We start from the raw sequence: 19,933 nt of genomic DNA, 5'->3' as shown, positions 1-19,933 counted from the left end.
CTTCAGTCTCCTGAGTAGCTGGGATTACAGGTGCCTGCCACCATGCCTAGCTAATTTTTGTATTTTAGTAGAGACAGGGTTTCACCATGTTGGCCAGGCTGGTCTTGAACTCCTGACCTCAAGTGAGCCTCAGCCTCCCAAAGTGCTGGGATTACAGGCGTGAGCCACTGTGCCCTGCCGAATCTACTTTTTAAAATCTATGGATTTGCCAATTCTGGACATTCCATGTGTACAGAACCATACAGTATGTGGCATTTTGTGTCTGGCTGTTTTCAGCATCATTTTCAAGGTTCATCCATGATGTAGAACATATGAGTACTTCATTCCTTTTTTTTCTTTGAGACAGAGTGTCACTCTTTTGTCCAGGCTGGAGTGCAGTGGCACAATCTCGGCTCATTGCAGCCTCTGCCTCCCGGGCTCAAGCGACTCTCGTTTCTTGTGCCTTAGCCTCCTGACTAGCTGGGATTGTAGGTGTGTGCCACTATGCCAGGCTAATTTTTGTATTTTTAGTAGAGACAGGGCTTTGCCATGTTGGCCAGCCTGGTCTCAAACTCCTGGCCTCAAGTGATCCTCTTGCCTCACCCTCCCAAAGTGTTGGGATTACAGGCGTGAGCCACTGTGCCCAGCCTCCTTCCTTTTTATGGATGCATACTATTCCACTGTCTGGGTGTTTGGGTGCCACAGTGTGTCTATCCATTCATCGGAGGATGGACATTGCCTTTGCTTCCACTTTTTGGCTGTTGTGAATAATGCTGCTATGAACACTGAGTTACAGTTTTATTTTGTTTATTTATTTATTGAGACAGGGTCTTGCTTTGTCACCCAGGCTAGAGTGCAGTGGCACAGTCATAGCTCACTGCAGCCTCCTGGGCTCAAGCGATCCTCCCATTTCAGCCTCCTGAGTAGTTGGGATTACAGGTACATACCACCACCCCTGGCTAATTTTCATTTTTTTTTTTTTTTTTTGTAGAAACAGGATTTTGCCATATTCCCCAGGCTGGTCTTGAGCTCCTGGGCTCAAGTGATCCACTAGCCTCAGCCTCTCAAAGTGCTGGAATTTCAGGTGTGACCACCGTGTCTGGTCTTGAGTTACATTTTTTTTTTGAGATGGGGTCTCACTGTGTTGCCCCAGACTGGAGTGCAGTGGCACGATCTTGGCTCACTGCAACCTCTGCCTCCTGGGTTCAGGAGATTCTCGTGCCTCAGCCTCCCGAGTAGCTGGGATCACAGGCATGTGTCACCACATCCGGCTAACTTGCCAGGGTCTGACCCACAGACCTGGGCTGCACTACAGATGAATAATGTACTCAGACACCAGTATTCAGTGAAAGAGCTGGCTAGGGGGCTGGACCTTTCACAAAAAGAGTTGTTCCAGCCCCGCGGCCTGACTAGCTGGTCCTGCAGGCATTTATTCAGCACAGACTTAATGACAAAGGCTTTGAGTCAACACATTTGTGGGTAATTAATCTGGTTGCCCTCCCTCAGAGAGAGTAGTCCTGCCCGTGAATGATCAAAGGTCTGTTTTAGGACAACATGAGTGAACAAGCTATTTAGATAAACTCCTCTACATTCCTATGTATCTACGCCCTAAACTTTTAAGAGAATTCAGCTACCTTCAGCCAAATCTTTTACTGAAGCTATGCAAACCTTCCGGCCTTCCAAGAAAGTTTGTGTCTATTTCCTATAACTTTATCTTTATAATTTCTCCTACCACCTTGACCAATCTCCTGCATTGTGTATGTTTAGCAGAGACACGGTTTCACCATATTGGCCAGGCTGGTCTGGAACTCCTGACCTCAGGTGATCTGCCTGCCTTGATCTCCCAAAGTTCTGGGATTACAGGTATGAGCCAGCGTGCCCAGCTTTTTTTCTTTTTTTCTTTTTTTTTTTTTTTTTCTGAGATGGAGTCTCATTCTGTCACCCAGGCTGGAGCGCAGTGGCGAGATCTCAGTTCACTGCAACCTCCGCCTCCCAGGTTCAAGCGATTCTCATACCTCGAGTTACATTTTTAAAGATCACGCTGGTTGCTGGTTAGAAGCCAGGGGACTACAATAATCCGAATGAAAGGCAGTGCACTCAGACCAGAGGGCAGGTAGCAGTGGAGGTGGTGAGAGAGGGCAGCCTTCTTTAGATTGGGGATGCGCATAAACTAGAGAATGCAGGATACCCTGTAAACTTTGAAGGCTGGTCCATCCATTGATGGAAACCGGGAAGGTGCGGGTGGGGTGGGCTTGAGGGAGGACCGAGATTGGCTTGGGATGTGTGTGTGAGATGCTGCTATGGTTTGAATGTTTGTCTCCTCCATTAATGGGTTAATGGACTGATGAGTTATTATGGGGGAGGATCACACTAAGCTCCCTCATCACGTGATACCCTGCATCGCCTCAAAACTCTGCAGACTCCACAGAGAGCCCCCGCCAGCAGGAAGACCCTCCCCGAAAGTGGACCCTTGACCTTGGACTTCTCTGACTCCATAACTATAAGAAAGAAATTTCTGGGCCAGGTGCAGGGACTCACACCTGTAATCCCAGCACTTTGGGAGGCCAAGGAGGGTGGATAGCTTGAGCTAAGGAGTTCAAGTCCAGCTCAGGCGACATGGTGAAACCCCATCTCTACAAAAAAATACAGAAAAAAATTAGCCGCGTATGCACCTGTAGTCACAGATACTCTGGAGGCTGAGGTGGGATGATCATTTGAGTCTGGGAGGCAGAGGTTGCAGTGAGCTGAGATCGAGCCACTGCACTCCAGGCTGGGTGACAGAGTGAGAACCTGTCTCAAAAAAAAAAAAAAAAAAAAAAGAAAGAAATTTCTTTTCTTTGTAAATTATTCAGTTTCATGTATTCTGCTATAAGCAACAGAAAGCTAATACAGATACCTATTAGATGTTTTGGTGGAGATGTTGACTGGTCAGTGAGGGGCATGAGATGACAGGGAGAAGAGGTGAATTTGAGAGTTGCCTGCAGATAGATTGTGTTGAAAAAACCAAAAGAGTGCAGTCACCTATGAAGAGGGATAGAAAAGGTGACTGGATGACCAACTGGGCTCAATGGCTCACCCCTGTAATCTCAGCACTTTGGGATGCCAAGATGGGAGGATCACTTGAGCTCAGGAGTTTGAGACCAGCCTGGGCAATGCAGTAAGACTTCATCTCTACAAAAAATTTAAAAAATTAGCTGGGCGTGGTGCCACACGCCTGTAGTCTCAACTACTGGGGAGGCTGAGGTGGGAGGATCGCTTGAGCCCAGTAGGTTGAGGCTGCAGTGAGCTGTGATCATGCCGCTGCACTCCAGCCTGGGTGACAGAGTGAGACCACGTCTCAGAAAAAAGAAAAAGAATAAAGATGACCAACAGATGAGCCTAGGGGTGTCCACCTTTAAGGGGCTGGGAGATGTGGGGAAGCCAGTGAGGGAGGCTGAAAAAGCACCATATGACCTTTTCTTGATTAGTGTAGCTATATAGTAAACCTTAATACTGGCTACAGCAATTTCTCCCATTGTATTTTGCTTTGTCAAGATTCTTTTAGCTATTCGAGGGCCTCTGTCTTGCTATATGAATTTTATTTTATTTATTATTTTATATATATATATATATTTTTTTTCTTTTTTATTTTTTTTGAGATGGAGTCTCGCTCTGTTGCCCAGGCTGAAGTGCAGTGGCGTGATCTCGGTTCACTGCAACCTCTGTCTCCCGGGTTCAAGCAATTCTCCTGCCTCAGCCTCCTGAGTAGCTGGGACTACAGGTGTGTGCCACCATGCCCAGCTAATTTTTGTATTTTTAGTATAGATGGGGTTTCACCATGTTGGCTGGGCTGGTCTCTAACTCCTGACCTCAGGTGATCCGCCCGCCTTGGCCTCCCAAATGCTGGGATTACAGGCGTGAGCCACCACGCCTGGCCTTTTTTTATTTTATTTTATTTTTTTTTGAGACGGAGTCTCGCTCTGTCACCCAGGCTGGAGTGCAGAGGTGCGAACTCAGCTCACTGCAGGCTCCGCCTCCCCGGTTCACACCATTCTCCTGCCTCAGCCTCCCGAGTAGCAGGGACTACAGGAGCCTGCCATCACGCCCGGCTATTTTTTGTTTTTTTTGTATTTTTTAGTAGAGATGGGGTTTCACCTTGTTAGCCAGAATGGTCTTGATCTCCTGACCTCGTGATCCACCCGCCTCAGCCTCCCAAAGTGTTGGGATTACAGGCGTGAGCCACTGCACCTGGCCCATTTTGGTCTTTGTCATTAATGTCCAAGGCTATTCTAAATATGTGGGCATATTTAGAATAATGTCATTAATGTCCAAGGCTATTCTAAATATGTGGGCATCCTTGGCTCTCCTTGGGGGTAGTGTTTTTTCCAAAAAAAGAGACTGCTTCCTGAGGGGCAGGGCTCTGTGGTAGGCAGAATACCCCAAATGTCCACATCCCTGCCGGCCCTCACCCTGATGCGCAGACCTGCAGCTATGTTCGTCAGCATGGCAAAAGAGACTTTAAGATGCCATGAAGAGGCCGGGCACAGTGGCTCACACCTGTAATCTCAGCAATTTGGGAGGCCGAGGTGGGCGGATCACCTGAGGTCAGGAGTTCAAGATCAGCCTGGCCAATGTGATGAAACCCCATCTCTACTAAAATACAAAAATCCCAGCTACTTGGGAGGCTGAGGCAGGAGAATCCCTTGAACCTGAGAGGTAGAGGTTGCAGTGAGCCGAGACTGTGCCATTGCACTCCAGCCTAGGTGACAAGAGTGAAACCCCGTCTCAAAAAAAAAAAAAAAAAGCCATGAAGATTAAGAACTTTGAGATGGGGAGATCGTCTTGGTTTTCTTGGTTTAACCCTGCAGACCCAGTCTAATCATGAGGCCTCATAAAAGAAGAACCAGAGAAGAGGCAGCACGAAGACGTGGCCAGGAAGGGGTCACAGACGGGAAGACAAGGGCCTCTGGATGCTGGAGAAGGCACGGACCTCCCCCGGAGCTTCCAGAGGGAGCCAGCTGTGCAGGCACGTCGATTTTAGCCTAGTGAGGCCTGTGCCAGAAACCTGACCTGTAGTAACAGAATAAATTCGTGTTGTTTTGGGCCGCAGAGTTGGTGGTCATTTGCCACCACAGCAAATATTTTAGGTTGGTGCAAACTAATCGTGGTTTTGCACCAACCTAATAGAAAACTAAGGCCGGGTGCAGTGGCTCACGCCTGTAATCCCGGCACTTTGGGAGGCCGAGGCGGGCGGATCACAGGGTCAGAAGTTCCAGGCCAGCTGGGCCAATATGGTGAAACCCTGTCTCTACTAAAAATGCAAAAATTAGCCAGGCATGGTGGCGGGTGCCTGTAGTCCCAGCTACTCGGGAGGCTGAGGCAGGAGAATCACTTGAACCAGGGAGGCGGAGGTTGCAGTGAGCCAAGATCGCACCACTGCACTCCAGCCTGGGCAACAGAGCGAGACTCCATCTCAAAAAAACACAACGCAACACAACACAACACAACACAACACAACACAACACAACACAACACAACACAACACAACACTACACAACAACACTAAGGTAGGTGCCAGGTGCGGGGCCTTTCCCTTCCCTGAGTGCAGCTCCTGCAGGCAGCCAGAAGAGGGCAGCAGCCACCAACAAGCAAAAGCAGGAGAAAGAATTTCTGCTGCCGAGGTTGGAACCAGGTCCGGGTAGTGGCTACAGCCACTGTGAGAAGGGAGTTTGAGGGAATATTTAGGACGTGCTCATTCAGTGTCTGAGTCCTGGCTACAGAAGTGGGATTTTGTTTTTGTTTTTGGAGACAAATTCTCTGTTGCCCAGGTTGGGGTACAGTGACATAATCACGGCTCACTGCAGCCTTGATCTCTCAGGCTCAAGCCATCCTCCCACCTCAGCCTCCCAAGTAGCTGGGACTACAGGTGCATGCCACAACACCTGACTAATTTTTAGCTTTTTTTTAAAAAAAATTTATTTTTTGTAGAGACAGGGTCTTGCCATGTTGCCCAGGTTGGTCTCAAACTCTTGAACTCAAGGTTGCACCACTGCACTCCTCTCACCTCAGCCTCCCAAAGTGCTGGGGTTACAGGCGTGAGCCACTGTGCCCAGCCCCAAAAGTGTGTATTTTTTTGTGGAAGTTGCTTGACTGTACACTTTTGTGCAATTTTCTCTATGTTTTACTTTAATGAAAATTGTGTGAGGAAGAGGGGGAGAAGGGAAGGGAAATGGACAATAGTAAATACATGACTTGGCAGGGCTGAGGAAATGAGGTGTTTGCTGAGCCTTTGCCCCATGGCTGCATTCTGGGCAGGCTCTGGCAGGGGCAGCAGACACCATCCCATCTGAGGAAGCCAGATGAAAATGCCTGGGCTGGTCCCATGTCTCCAGGCATAAGCTGTCTCTTTGCCTTTTGCTCTTCTGCCAAGGCTGTGTGAGTGAGTGGGGGTGAACTGCTTGCTGTGAGCATGTCTTCAGGTCAGAAGGCATCAGATTTACCTTCCACTACCCCCTTACCTCCTCCACCAACACTCCTGCTAACTTGATCCTGAGGCCCATTCATCTCAAAGGCAAAAAGACCCAATTGTCAGTCTATTTTCCATCCATCCACCCATACATGCATCTATCCATCCATCCATCCACCCATCCATCCATCCATCCACCCACCCATCCATCCATCCATCCACCTATCTATCTATCCATCCGTCCATCCACCTATCCATCCATCCATCTACTCACCCATCTACCCATCCATTCATCCTTCCACCCATCCATCCACACATCTATCCATCCATCCACACATCCATCCATACATCCATCCTTTCACCCATTCATCCGTCCACACATCCATCCACCCATCCACCATCCATCCATCCATTCATCCAGCATCCATCCATCCATCTATCCATCCATCCACACATCCATCCATCCTTCTATCCATTCATCTATCCATCCACCATCCATCTACCATCTACCCACCCATCTACCATCCATCCACACATCCATCCATCCATCCACCCAATCAATGCATCCATTCACCCACACATCCACTCACTCATCCACCATCCATCCATCCATTCACACATCCATCCACTCGATCCCTTCATCCATTCACACATCCATTCAATCAATGCATCCATTCACCCACACATTCACTCATCCACCATCCATCCATCCATTCACCCAGTCCATCCATCCGTCCACCCAATCCATCCATCCACTTACACATCCATCCACCCAATCCATCCACACATCCATCCAACCATCCACCATCCATCCATCCATCCATCCATCCATCCATCCATCCACACATCCATTCATTCACCCAATCCATCCATCCATCCACACATCCATTCATTCACCCAATCCATCCATCCATCCATCCATCCACTCATCCATCCATCCATCCATTCATCCATCCATCCATCCATTCATCTACCATCCATCCATTCATCCACCATCCATCCATCCATCCATCCACACATCCATTCATTCACCCAATCCATCCATCCATCCACACATCCATTCATTCACCCAATCCATCCATCCATCCATCCATCCATCCATCCATCCATCCATCCATCCACACATCCATTCATTCACCCAATCCATCCATCCATCCACACATCCATTCATTCACCCAATCCATCCATCCATCCATCCATCCATCCATCCATCCATTCATCCACCATCCATCCATCCACATATCCATCCATCCATCCACACATTTATCCATCCACCCATCCACCATCCATCCATCCATCCATCCATCCATCCACCCACACATCCATCCATCAATCTATCCATCCATCCATGCTTCCATCCATCCATCCATCTGTCCACCACCCAAACGTTCATCCGTCTATCCCCCATCCATCTATCCATCTAATCCTTGCTTGCTTATTCATTAATTCAGCACTTTCTGGTGCCTCCTCTGTGCCTGGCACTGTGCCAGTACTTCCTTCTGGCCTGTTTTCTGGTAAGTGTTAGCATTTATGTTCTTTGCTGTGGCTCTTACAAAACATGGGCAGGTAAATGTTGCCTGACATGTGAGGACACATATCACCTGGGGTCAGGGGCACACAAATGACTCCTGGGGGCCTGAAGATGAGTGTGTAGGATTTGGTGATGTGAGTGCTTTGGGCAGGGCTCTGAGTCCAGCCTTGGGGTGGAGACAGCCCTGCTTCAAGCACACACTTTGGCCAAGCTCTCAATCCCACTGCTGGTTCCAGATCCACAGACAGGGACCTTGGTCTGAGGCTTGTCTAGGGAGGCCCCAGCCTCAGCTGCCCCCATAGCCAGTGGGCAGGCATGTTTGGGAGGGTGAGGAGACTCAGGAAGGGCAGGCCCCACCGGGCTGCAGTCGAATGTGAGCATGAGACCTGGCGAACGTGGGGCTGTGCAGCAGAAGGTGTGATTTCTCAGCAGAACATGCAAACGTGGACTTTAAATGCCTGGTTTTCATATATTAAATTAACTTCAAAAGTTAACATGTGCTGAACCTACCGAACAGAGGTTGTCTTGGGCTTGATGCTATTCATGGTCCACCTCCACCCTCAGAGGAGAGCAGCGGAACCTGCATGGCCGGCCACCAGTGTGTCATTGCCAGGCCTGGTGGTGCAGCCGGTGCCCTCAGACCTCAGGGCCCGCTGGGCTCGCCCCCAACCCTGCCCCCAGCCACACTACTCTAGGGACCAGTAGTAGAAGACTTTTTGTGCCAGGCTCCTGGGTCCAAGGGGTGATGTGCTGCCAGCTTGTGGATGGCTGCAGTGGAGCCCTGAGCCTCTCTGAGCCTCCTGTGCCCATCTGTATAATAGCGGCACTGGCTGCAGTTTCCACCCTACAGCAGCCATGACCCCAAACATAAGTCAGATCCCATCACTGCCCTCATAGACACTGCCCAGCCCTGCCCATGGCACCTACCACCAAGTTCAAAGTCTTCACTCAGCCGGAGCCCTGCATGAGTCGTCTCTAGCCACCTCTCCTGCGTCTCCTGTCACCTCCCTGCCCCTCTGCTCCTGGAGCTCGTCCAGCAGCTGCTGCCTTGGCCTGTGCACCGACTGTTGTGTGTTTCTGGCTCCTTGTTGCTCAAGTCCCAAGGGGCCTCCCTGCGCAGTGTAGTCACTCACCCTCAGTCAGTCACACTCCCTGCTGGATTTTCATCAGCGCTCCCTTTTCTGAAGTTGTCTGGTTCCACGGTTGATTTTCTGGTTCAGCATTGGACTTCCTTTGTGAGAATGTCATGTGGGAGGGAAGGGGCTGTGTCCTTGTTCTTCACCCTTCTCGTCCTAGTGCCTGACACACAGTGGGAGTTCATTTTTTTTTGGTGTGTGTGTGTATATATATATATATATATATATATATATATATATATATTTTTTTTTTACTTAGAGACTGGGTTTCACTCTGTTGGCCAGGCTGGTCTTGAACTCCTGGCCTCAAGTCATCCACCTCGGCCTCCCAAAGTGCTAGAATTACAGACGTGAGCCACTGCACCTGGTCTAATTTTTATTTATTTTTTGAGACAGGGTTTTGCTCTGTTGCCCAGGCTGCAGTGCAGTGATGCAATCATAGCTCACTGCAGCCTTGACCTCCTGGGCTCAAGTGATTCTCCTACCTCACTCTCTCGAGTAGCTGGGGCCACAGGTGCCCGCCACCATGCCCAGCTAATTTTTTTATTTCTTGTAGAGACAGGGTCTTGCTATGTTGCCCAGGCTGGTCTCGAACTCCTGGGCTCAAGCAATCCTTCTGTCTGGGCCTCTCAATGCAGTAATCCCTCATGTGGGATTACCAGCATGAGCCGCTGCACTTGGCCTACAGTAGGAGTTCAATAAATGTTTCTTGAATGTTCCATACATGTTTATGAGGTCTGGCCTTCAGACTTGGCATTAAAGCGCCCTGAGATCTTGGTCAAGAGCCTGTTTCCTCATCTATCAGATGTGGCTGAAGGTCCCCACCTGTGCCCTCCCAGGCTCTGGGAGGACCCATGGAGACAGGAGGGCAGAGGGAAGGGGTTCCCGCGATGCCAATCCTGGGTGCCGTTCTCCCTGAGCCCTCCCTACAGGATTGAGAAAGTGGGTGCCGTTCTCCTTGGGCCCTCCCTACAGGATCGAGAATGTGGGGCCCAAGCTTTAGGAGGATGCGCCTGACCAAGGTGGCAAGGCGCTGTGCTGAGGAGAGCCAGCACAAGGGGGCGCCCGAGGCCTGCCACAGGTCGAAAGAGGCCCTGCCTTGTCCTGGCGGTGAAGGGAAGGTGGCCGACGCCGAGGGCCGCACAAGGACACTGTCCCCAGCCCGAAGCGCCATACTGCTTTGCTGACGCTGTTAAAAATATACGTTCTTTTATGAAGTGATAGTGATTATAGGTGACGGTTCTAAAAAAATGTCCCCACTTGCCCAAATGAAAACATTGACAACCCAAGGTCAGTCCCAAAACGTTTTGAAGAAATTTGGGGTCCATGAAACCCTAAATACTAGTCTGTTGGGTTGTGGGATCAGAGGTCGAGATATGGGATTCTTGGAAGAGCCTGCTAGAAAGTGTGACCACAATCCCCCATCCCAACATACACACACACACACACACACACACACACACAAACACAGAGGAATATGTGGTACATCTGTGCATACACACAAGCACACTCAGACACCAGTACATATGCACACACACCAGCACACATGCACACACACACTAGCATATATGCACACACACCAGCACATATGCACACACACACCAGCACATATGCACACACACAAGCACACATGCATACACACACTAGCATATATGCAGACACCAGCACACATGCACACACACACACCAGCACATATGCACACACACTAGCATATATGCACACATATCAGCACATATACACACACACCAGCACACATGCACACACACACCAGCACATATGCACACACACACCAGCACACATGCACACACACACGCCAGCACACATGCACACACAGCACATATGCATACACACAGCACACATGCACACACACACCAGCACATATGCGCACACACAGCATATATGCACACACACCAGCACATATGCACACACACACAGCACATATGCACACACAGCACATATGCACACACACCAGCACATATGCACACACACCGGCACATATGCACACACACAGCACATATGCATATACAAACACAGGCAAAGGCAAACACGTGTGTGAACCCTGGGGTGATGCACACTGACATGGTTTGGCTCTGTCCCCACCTGAATCTCATGTTAAATTGTAATCCCCACGTGTCGAGGGCGGGACCTGGTGGGAGGTGGTTGAATCATGAGGCGCATTTCCGCCATGCTGTTCTTGTGATAGTGGGTGAGTTCTCACAACATCTGATGGTTTGAAAATGTGGCACTTGTCCCCTTTGCTCGCTCTCTCCTGCTCCACCATTGTGAAGACGTGCTTGCTTCCCCTTTGCTTTCTGCTACGATCGTTAAGTTTCCTGAGACCTCTCAGTCATGCCTCCTGTTAAGCATGCAAAAGTGTGAGTCAATTAAACCTCTTTTCTTCGTAAATTATCCAGTCTCAGGTAGTTCTATTTATTTATATATTTTTTGAGATGGGGTCTAACTCTGTCACCCAGATTGGTGTGCTATGGCATGATCTCGGTTCACTGCAGCCTTTGCTTCCCAGGTTCAAGTGATTCTCCTGCCTCAGCCTCCCCAGTAGCTGAGATGACAGGTGTGCGCCACCATGCTCGACTAATTTTTATGTAACTTTTTTTTTTGGAGAGATGGGATTTTGCCATGTTGGCCAGGCTGGTCTTGAACTCCTCACCTCCAGCAATCCACCCGCCTTGTCCTCCCAAAGTGCTGGGATTACAGGTGTGAGCCACCACACCTGGGCTCAGGTAGTTCTTTATAGCAGTGTGAGAACGGATAATACATACATAAACCATGCAAACACATAAACACAGGCATTCACAAGTACACACACGCACTGTATACACACGTGCATGCACACATAGACATATACACACACATGCATATATGCACACGTGTCCACATGCACACACACCTGCACCCATATGCAAATACAAGCAAATACAAATGCATACATACACACGTGATGTACACAAACATGTAAAGACACAGGCACATGCACACAAGCAAATGCGAACATGCGTGCACATGATGCATGCAAAACACATGCAAATGAATAGGCACACACATGTGCATGCACAAATGCACACACGTACAGAAAGATGAAGTCCCAAGAACATTTAGAGCCATGCGCAGGCCGGCACCAAAGGAAAGAGATGCCTGTCCGTCAGTGCTGAGTTTGCAGGGTCACTGGACTCTGGGGACGGCCTGTGAGTTTCCCAGGCAGACGTCAGGCAGACAGCATTCAAGTGAGAAAAGTGTCGTATATTCAAATTTATTTAGATGAATGTCCAGCCACAGTCCTCTGTGGATTTGTGTACATTCACTTTTTAAAAAAATGGTTTCCATAAAAGGATTTTTGGTAATTGCCTAATTTTTAATACAGTATTTATATACAAAACCCACTTCAAACTACTTACTGTACAAGAGAAAAGAGAAGCATCAGATTGCATGATTTTAGCAAATAATGGAAATGTACGACACCTATGAACTTTGACCACAGTTGGCAGATTAAAGGGAATGTAACATCACATCAATGAGATCTTCAAGACAAATTTATTTCTATTTTTCCTCCTGGCCTTTGCTAAAATGATGTTTCTCTTGGTGCTTGAGAAATTTCAGAGAGTTGTTTAGTATCATTGCTGCAAATTTAGATCACTCATATCATTTATGAGACTTGGTTTTATACACTTTTAAAATAATTGTCCAACAGTGACATTCCTGTGAGTAAAAATATAGAGAAGTGTTACCAAAATATAAGCCTTTATTAATAAAAATCTTTGGTAGTAACAGTATTTTAAATTCCTCTCAACGATATTTGGTTAACTAATAAACTCCCTCCACCTTTGAGCTACAGAAAAAAAATCCTCAATCTACCATATAATTGATATTTGAAAAAAAACCCATAAATATTCTAAAGCTTCCAGGGGACCCCTGGAAGCCCTAAGACTTCTTGAAACCCTGACACCATCTGTGGAAATGCTTCCGAGGTCATCTCTCTCTGCCCATTTTCTGGTCAACCGGTTTTGTCCCATAAGGAAGATGAACAACTCTGAGGTCGGCTTGGTGTGATGGGGGCAGGTGTGTGGCTGACAGTGGGGAGCCTGCTGGGGACGCCAAGGGTGCTGTTTCCTGCTTAATCAGGGACACCTCTGTCCCCTTCTAGCTTTCCAGGGATAACTGGGATGCTCCCACGCCCCCTGTGTGGCTCAGGGATGAGGCACTTCTCTCTCAGCCACTCAACTGATGGAAGGAAAAGGCGATGGAAAGTCTAACTTTTCTGAAACAGGTAGGTGACACCTTTTGGAACCGGAATCAATCATTATTCTTGCGTGGGTTTTCCATTTTCCCTGAAGCATCGCACCAGCTTTTGCGCGATGCCTCGGCTTACCATTTTGCATCTATCTTAAGGAATTAGGAGGATTCAGAGGAGGGTTTCTACGGGCCTCTGCTCACTTTTCACCTCTAGGGAGACTCAAGTTTCCAAGCATTCTTTCTGCAAAGCACCTGCCTTTGCTACCTTATTGCCGTATTACCAGCCATCATTTTGATTCATCTTGAATACTACAGATTAAAAAATATTCCCTGCATAATGGCTTTGTGCAAAAACAAGGGAAAGAAAACAGAAAGAAGAAAGGAAAATGTCCTATCAGAAAGTGGTCCTCCATGTTTGCAGAAAACCCAGGACCCACCGGGCCCTGGTGGGAGCGGGAAGCCGCCTGCCCTGGGAGAGGGTGCCCATCGGTCAGGATGCCCGGCTGGCCTGCCCAGCCCCGCTGGCATAGCTACAGGACGCCCCCGTGGTAGGCATGGCTGGGGGCTGGGCTGCCGAGGCTGTCTGGGCAGGCTTTGGTGTTGTGGTGGTTGCACGGCGGCTCGTCCTTCTGCCGCTCCTTCTCCATCCAGGTTTCCAGCAGCTGCTGCTTGTCTTGCTCCTCCCGCATGAACAGCTCCACCATGAGCACCTTCTCCTTGTGGATCTGCTGGCTGATGTCCTTGGGGATGTCCGGGATGACCCAGTCCACAAAGTCGCTCATGAACATGACCAGGTTCTGGAAGGAGAGGCAACGCGTGGCAGAAGGGAGGATGGCGCCTGGGGAAGTGCTCCTGACCTCTCTGCCTGGCCCCCATCTGGTGGAGTGCCACCCCACCACCTCCTGGCCCATTGACCTCCCTGGGCCTCAGTTTTCCAGAAGCTATAAAGGAGGCATAGAACCACCCGGCAGGCCTCTGGGAAATGTTGGCCGACTTTCTCGAACAAATCTGAACTCAGTAATTGGGAAAATCATCTGAGTCATTCTGAATTCTTTGATCAGGAGACTCAGGAAGTGACCTGATGGATCACACATCGCCAAATCTAACGAGCATCGAGCCTTTGGGGAAAAACATGAAACTGGAAATAGCCACAAATGGATCAAACTTTTACAGTTTGCAAAGCGTCCCAGGGTCTCCCTGAACATCTACCACCTCCACGGAGACATTTCTGGTGGATAGAAGGCAACATAAGTCAGTTTTTATGGAAAAACGGAATCTTCTTGTTTGCTGAACATCTGTCCAGCAAGCACGTGTGAGCACCCCCGGCTGAGCAGGTTCCCGCCACGGGCGGTGCTGGTGCCCCCTGGATTGGTGTCTTCTCCTGGTTGGTGCTCCCAGTCCCCAGCTGGGGCTGGGGTTGGCTGCTCACGCTCGCAGCTGCAGAACTTATGCCCCATCCCATCTCCCTCTTCCCAGCCTGGTCAGCCCAAAGCAGTGACTGGTCCATCTAGGGGCTGCCTTGCCTCCAGGTGAGGCCAGGTCTGGGGTGCCATGCCTGCTCCGGGGCTCCCTTGGGATAAGGCTGGGCTGTCTCTGGCCGAGACCCCTCCTTGCTGGGCTCTCAGGCTCTGGTCTGCGGAACCCAGCCCCACACACCTTTTGCACTGCTTGCTGTGAAAAGCTGATGGATGGGGCCACTGAGCTTAGAGGAGTGGAAGGGCCTGCCCTGTGACAGAACTGGGACTTGAACCCAGTCTTGGGGATTCCAGAATCAGAGCCCTTGGCCCACTGCCTTCCTAGCATCGACTTAATCGAGACTAGAGGGACACCTGCGAGCAGAATCTTGGCGGTGCCCACAGCCCAGGATACTGCCTCTCTGGGACCTCAGCTGCCGGTGCACAGCTGGCACCCTAGCCTGGGGTCCCGCTCCACTGGGAGTCCCTCTGGCCTCAGAGAGTTGGCCCAGACCCCTCCCTAGAGACTGGGCCAGCTGGGGCTGGGTCCCCTGGCTGCTGGCTGCAGCTGGGGTCATCTGACAGCCCACTGCCCTCCTGTCTGTCCTGACTCTGCCTGCTACCACAGACATGGTGTGAGAATGAGAGGGACAGAGGTGGGGTCCCCTTTCTCCATGTCTTTCTTCCTTCCTTCCTTCCTTCCTTCCTTCCTTCCTTCCTTCCTTCCTCCCTCCCCCTCCTCGTCCTCCTCCTCCTCCTCTCCTTCTCCTTCTTTTCTCTCTCTCTCTTTTTTGAGATGGAGTTTCACTCTTGTTGCTCAAGCTGGAGTGTAGTGGCACGATCTCGGCTCACTGCAACCTCTGCCTCCTGGGTTCAAGTGATTCTCTTGCCTCAGCCTCCTGAGTAGCTGGGATTACAGGTGTGCACCACCACACCCGGCTAATTTTTGATATTTTTAGTAGAGACAGGGTTTCACCATGTTGGCCAGGCTGGTCTTGAACTCCTGACCTCAGGTGATCCACCTGCCTCGGTCTCCCAAAGTGCTGGGATTACAGGTGTGAGCCACTGTGCCTGGCCCCTGTCTCTTTCAATAAAGACACTTCTACTGGATTAAACCCACCAGCGAGTCAGAACCCTTCTGCCGGTGCTCATCCGGCCCCTCTATTGGCCTTCCTCTCTCATGAGGTTGTCTTGGGCCCTGTCAGTGCAGGGGGCCTGGGGTCGGCCAAGTCCCCTCCTCGGGTGTCCCAGAGCAAGTTCTCCAAGCCTCTGGAGGAGTCTCTGAACCCCTGGCTTTAGCAGCTCCTGACTTCCAGACTGTAGGCACAGGATGGTCCCTAAATGCTCCCATCTTCAAACCGGAAACAAAGAGGGACCCACCGCACCTGGAAGACGATGACAAACGCCAGCCGGGCTGCCAGGACGGCCCAGAAGTCCTTGGAGATGTCGTACTTGTTTTCCGACCACGGCGGCTCTCGGTAGTCTTTATACCTGCAAAAGACCGTGGTGGAGTCGAGGGTGGGACTTCGGTGGGGCTCAGGCTCTGGCTGGAGTCAGGCAGCTCGAGGGACGCCTGGGAGAGGCTCAGCTTGGTGTGCGGCTGCCTCCGGGAGGGCAGCCCTCTCTTGGGCGAGCAGCCCATGGCCCCGCACCCACGGAGTCTCTCTCCACAGTGGAGGGGGTTGGTCAGGATCCCCCATGGGCCAGGCAGGACCTGACGGGCTTCATGTAAAACACATGTGGCAGGAAGTATCCCCAGGCCCAGCCGTGGGCTCACAGAATCAAGGGTGGGGACCATGTGGTCCAGGAGGTTGCAAACTTTTAAAAGCAGTGGAGCCTTTGTTCCCAAAAGGTCTCACTGGAAACTCCAATAGGCCCCAAGAGTGCAGAGCCTACTTGGTTGAAGTCGGGGGGGTTCCCTAAGCTTGAACCTCCTGAACCTCAACCCAACGCCCATGCTCCACAGAACTTCAGAATGGGTTCCATGAAACACCCCTCCAGTCCATCCCCTCTTTGAGGGAATCTACCAAAGAAAAACCTCTGAGCACTTTATTAGCCAGGTGTGGTGGCTCGTGCCTGTAACCTCAGCACTGTAATCTCAGGCTGAGGAGTTAGAGATCAGTCTGGGCCACACAGTAAAACCCTGTCTCTGCAAAAAATACAAAAATTAGCCGGGCCTGGCAGTGCACGCCTGTATTCCCAGCTACTCGGGAGGCTGAGGTGGGAGGATCACCTGAGCCCGGGAGGTTGAGGTTGCAGTGAGCTTTGATCACGCCACTGCTCTTCAGCCTGGGCCACAAAGTGAGACCGTCTCTAAAAAAAGCAAACCAAACAACAACCAAAAAACACAGCAAAACAATACCCTGAACATTTTATCAAAGTAACTTAAGCAGTTTATCAAACATTTGCGAAAGAACGAAGCTAAGCATTCCGCTGGTGCAGGCAGAGGCGTGTCAGGCAGCCGGCCTGGCCCGCCCTGCCCTACCCGGGTCTGGGGCTGCTTTTCCTCCTCCAGGGTTGCTGCTTGGTCCTCACCTCCTTATCTTGAAGGAACTGCCCCTGGTTCTCATTACCAGCTTTAGATGTAGCTGACTGATCTCCTGCTTGGAGAGTCAAGCTCACTCACACCCCTCTCCCCAAGGTCCTGCCACTGACCTTGGCTCTTCGTGGATATGATTGGAGCCTCAGGAAGGAGGCTTGCCCCATTCATGACCACTGCCCGTGCTCCAGTTCTCCCCAGCCCCTTCCTCTTTTCACAGAGACCCAGAGATGCCCAGGGTCTGTGGGGGCAGGGTGAGGTCTCTGCCTAGGGCCTCCCTCCCTCCACAGCTCCCTGAATCTGGGGGATGCCACACATCAGCTGGAACATAGCTTGAATGGAGCTGACGTCCCCACCCTGCATTGGAAAAGCTTCCCAAAGCTGGACAGAAAATGCCCCCATGAGGGGCAGGATTTCCAGGGGCTCAGGGGCCGTTTGTGCCCCTGTTGGTCACTAAAACCTGAGGTCAGTCGGGGAGGCTAGGAGAAGGGCCACCTGGATTTGCAGGCACAGCCCTGGCCTGGACCCACATCCCTGGTGCTCGCCCACTCCGACTACCACCTTGCTGTGTGTCCCCTGGGCAATCACTTGACCTCTCTGGGCCTCAGTCTGGGCATTCCCTCACTTACTTATGTCACAAGCATTTATTGACCAACTACTATGTGCCAGACCCCACCCCAGGGATGGAGAATTCCGGGGTGGGGGGCGGTGCACAACAGATAGGGCCCTTGCCTACGGAGCTTGATTTCTGGAGGGAGCTGGATGGGAGTCTCCGAGGGCCTATTCAGCACTGAGCTGCCAACTCCTGAGATAGGATCAGGCTGGGCCACGGCTCTGGTGCCAGCTGCTGGGCCAGGCAGAAGTTGCACAACCTGCTTTCCCATGGGAACAAGCAGCCCTGTCCTCCCAGTGTCAGAAGCCACACGCACCAGCTCGTTCCTCTTTATTCTGTGCTCAAGGCTTTGCCTGCTAGCATCTGTCTCCTCTTCTTCAAGTCATAGCACCCCAGTTTTCCCTAGGACCCCCCCATTCTCTGTGACCTCACACCCTGGCACATGACCCAGGCCAAGCCAAGGAGAGCCCCCCTCCTCATGGCAATAGTGGTTGGTTCAAGAATGGACATCTGACCCAAGATGGGGCAGTAAGACTCAGTCCCTGGATTTTCACTGACTATTGGGAAACAGAAGGTCTTCCCACAGGGGCTGCAGAGCAGAAAGGATTGAAGCCAGGAGCTGCTAGGGATCCTTTTCATCAGCAAGAGAACAATGCAACACAGAGGAAATCAAAGTGGAGAGGCAGTGCCAGAGTGGAGCCTGATGGCAAACTGTAGCTCCTGGATCCAGCCATGCCTGAAGCTATCCTGGGCTTCTTAGTTACAGGAACTGGTAAATCACCTCTAATTTCCTCCCCTTAGGCATTTGTTTATTTCTTTATAGATAGGGTCTCACTCTGTTGCCCAGGCTGGAGTGCAGTGGTGCGATCATAGCTCACTGCAGCCTCAAATTCCTAGGCTCAATTGATCCTCCCACCTCAGCCTCCCGAGTAGCTAGAACTACAGGTGAGTGCCACAACGCCCGGCTATTTAAAAAATTTTTTGTAGAGATGAGGTCTCACTATGTGGCTCAGGCTGGTCTCTAACTCCTGAGCTCAAGTGATCCTCCTGCCTGGCCCTCCCAAAGTGCTGGGATGACGGGTGTGAGCCACTGCACCAGCCTTTTTTTTTTTCCTTCTTCTTCTTTTTAAGCAAGTTTGCGTTGTTTCATGACTTGCTCCTGATTTGAGCCCCGTCCAAACCCAGGCTCTCCCAGAAACCCAATAAACGTGGCTTTTCAAAGAGGGGAGCAGAGAGCAGTACCTGCAGATCTGCACCTCGTAGCCCAGGTCCAGGGGGTCATTGGGGGCCGTGCCGTTCTGGAAGTCACTGACGTTGAAGGAGGAGAGGGTGTGGTTGACGAAGCCGTGCATGGTCCCGTTCTTACTGTACATGTAGAGGTACACCAGGCGCGGGATGAAGTCAGACGTGAAGGAGATCACGAAGGCCTGTGCAGGGGACATGGCAGTGAGGGGGACCCCCAGCCTGGGCGCAGAAGGGCCGGCCGCAACAGGGGGTGACCCATCCACAGTTACACTGGACCCTGGCCATATGCCACTGCCTCTGGCGGGGACCATAGCCGCACAGCCTCGGCATGCTGAGTGAATGGATGCAGGGTCGCGGGTGTTCCTCTCAGCCCCCTGGCAGCTGAAGGAGAGTGCCTGGTGGCCAGAACAGTGCACTTCTAGGAGAGAAGGCACCAGGCAGACGCTGGCAGCCTCTTGCTGGCTGTGTGGCCTTGGGCAAATCACCCAACCTCTCTGTGCCTCCATTTTCTTCTTGTCAAAACAGGGCTAACAACACCCACACCATGTATGCACTGTGCCTCTGGGCTTGTTGGAGAAGGGAATGAGGCAGGAAGGGAAAGTGCTTTGCAAGCTCTCAAGTCCTCACCCGGCTCATTCTATTATAGCACCGGCTCTGGCTGGTGCCCTTACAAGAGAGGAAACCAAGGCCCAACGGCTGCCTCTCACATGGCTGTGTGGCCTTGGGCAAATCACCTAACCTCT

General features: G+C 51.0%; 1 protein-coding gene across 20 annotated transcripts in view, besides 3 other annotated features; it reads right to left on the bottom strand.

Moving 5' to 3' along the window:
- Positions 4,644-5,143: an enhancer, noted in NCBI's record as "H3K27ac hESC enhancer chr11:70042837-70043336 (GRCh37/hg19 assembly coordinates)". NCBI's record gives its function as "activates a minimal SCP1, AML or CMV promoter by ChIP-STARR-seq in primed H9 embryonic stem cells {active_cell/tissue: H9 hESC(primed)}" and the evidence as "EXISTENCE:reporter gene assay evidence [ECO:0000049][PMID:30033119]".
- Positions 5,477-5,771: a silencer, noted in NCBI's record as "tiled region #13422; HepG2 Repressive DNase unmatched - State 12:CtcfO, and K562 Repressive DNase matched - State 12:CtcfO". NCBI's record gives its function as "represses a minimal TATA promoter and a strong SV40 promoter by Sharpr-MPRA in HepG2 and K562 cells {active_cell/tissue: HepG2 | K562}" and the evidence as "EXISTENCE:reporter gene assay evidence [ECO:0000049][PMID:27701403]".
- Positions 9,902-9,961: an enhancer, noted in NCBI's record as "active region_5161". NCBI's record gives its function as "activates an Ori minimal core promoter by ATAC-STARR-seq in GM12878 lymphoblastoid cells {active_cell/tissue: GM12878}" and the evidence as "EXISTENCE:reporter gene assay evidence [ECO:0000049][PMID:35858748]".
- ANO1 (anoctamin 1) overlaps positions 12,344-19,933 on the bottom strand; it is a 223,534-nt gene continuing 215,944 nt past the window's right edge. For 19 of the 20 annotated variants that reach the window (XM_047427185.1, NM_001378092.1, XM_047427181.1 and 16 more), the window contains 3 exons: positions 19,188-19,372; positions 16,179-16,284; positions 12,344-14,136 (listed from right to left, as the gene is read on the bottom strand). In XM_047427185.1, coding sequence (XP_047283141.1) covers positions 13,870-14,136; positions 16,179-16,284; positions 19,188-19,372 — 558 coding nt within the window. In that variant the 3' untranslated portion in view covers positions 12,344-13,869. The remainder of the gene's footprint in view (positions 14,137-16,178; positions 16,285-19,187; positions 19,373-19,933) is intronic. The other variant, NR_030691.2, reaches the window with a different exon arrangement.

Source organism: Homo sapiens, chromosome 11 (assembly GCF_000001405.40).
Source record: "Homo sapiens chromosome 11, GRCh38.p14 Primary Assembly".
Classification (NCBI taxonomy): Eukaryota; Metazoa; Chordata; class Mammalia; order Primates; family Hominidae; genus Homo; species Homo sapiens.
The sequence above is the reverse complement of the archived record's forward strand: the minus strand, read 5'-3'. Positions and strand labels throughout refer to the sequence as shown.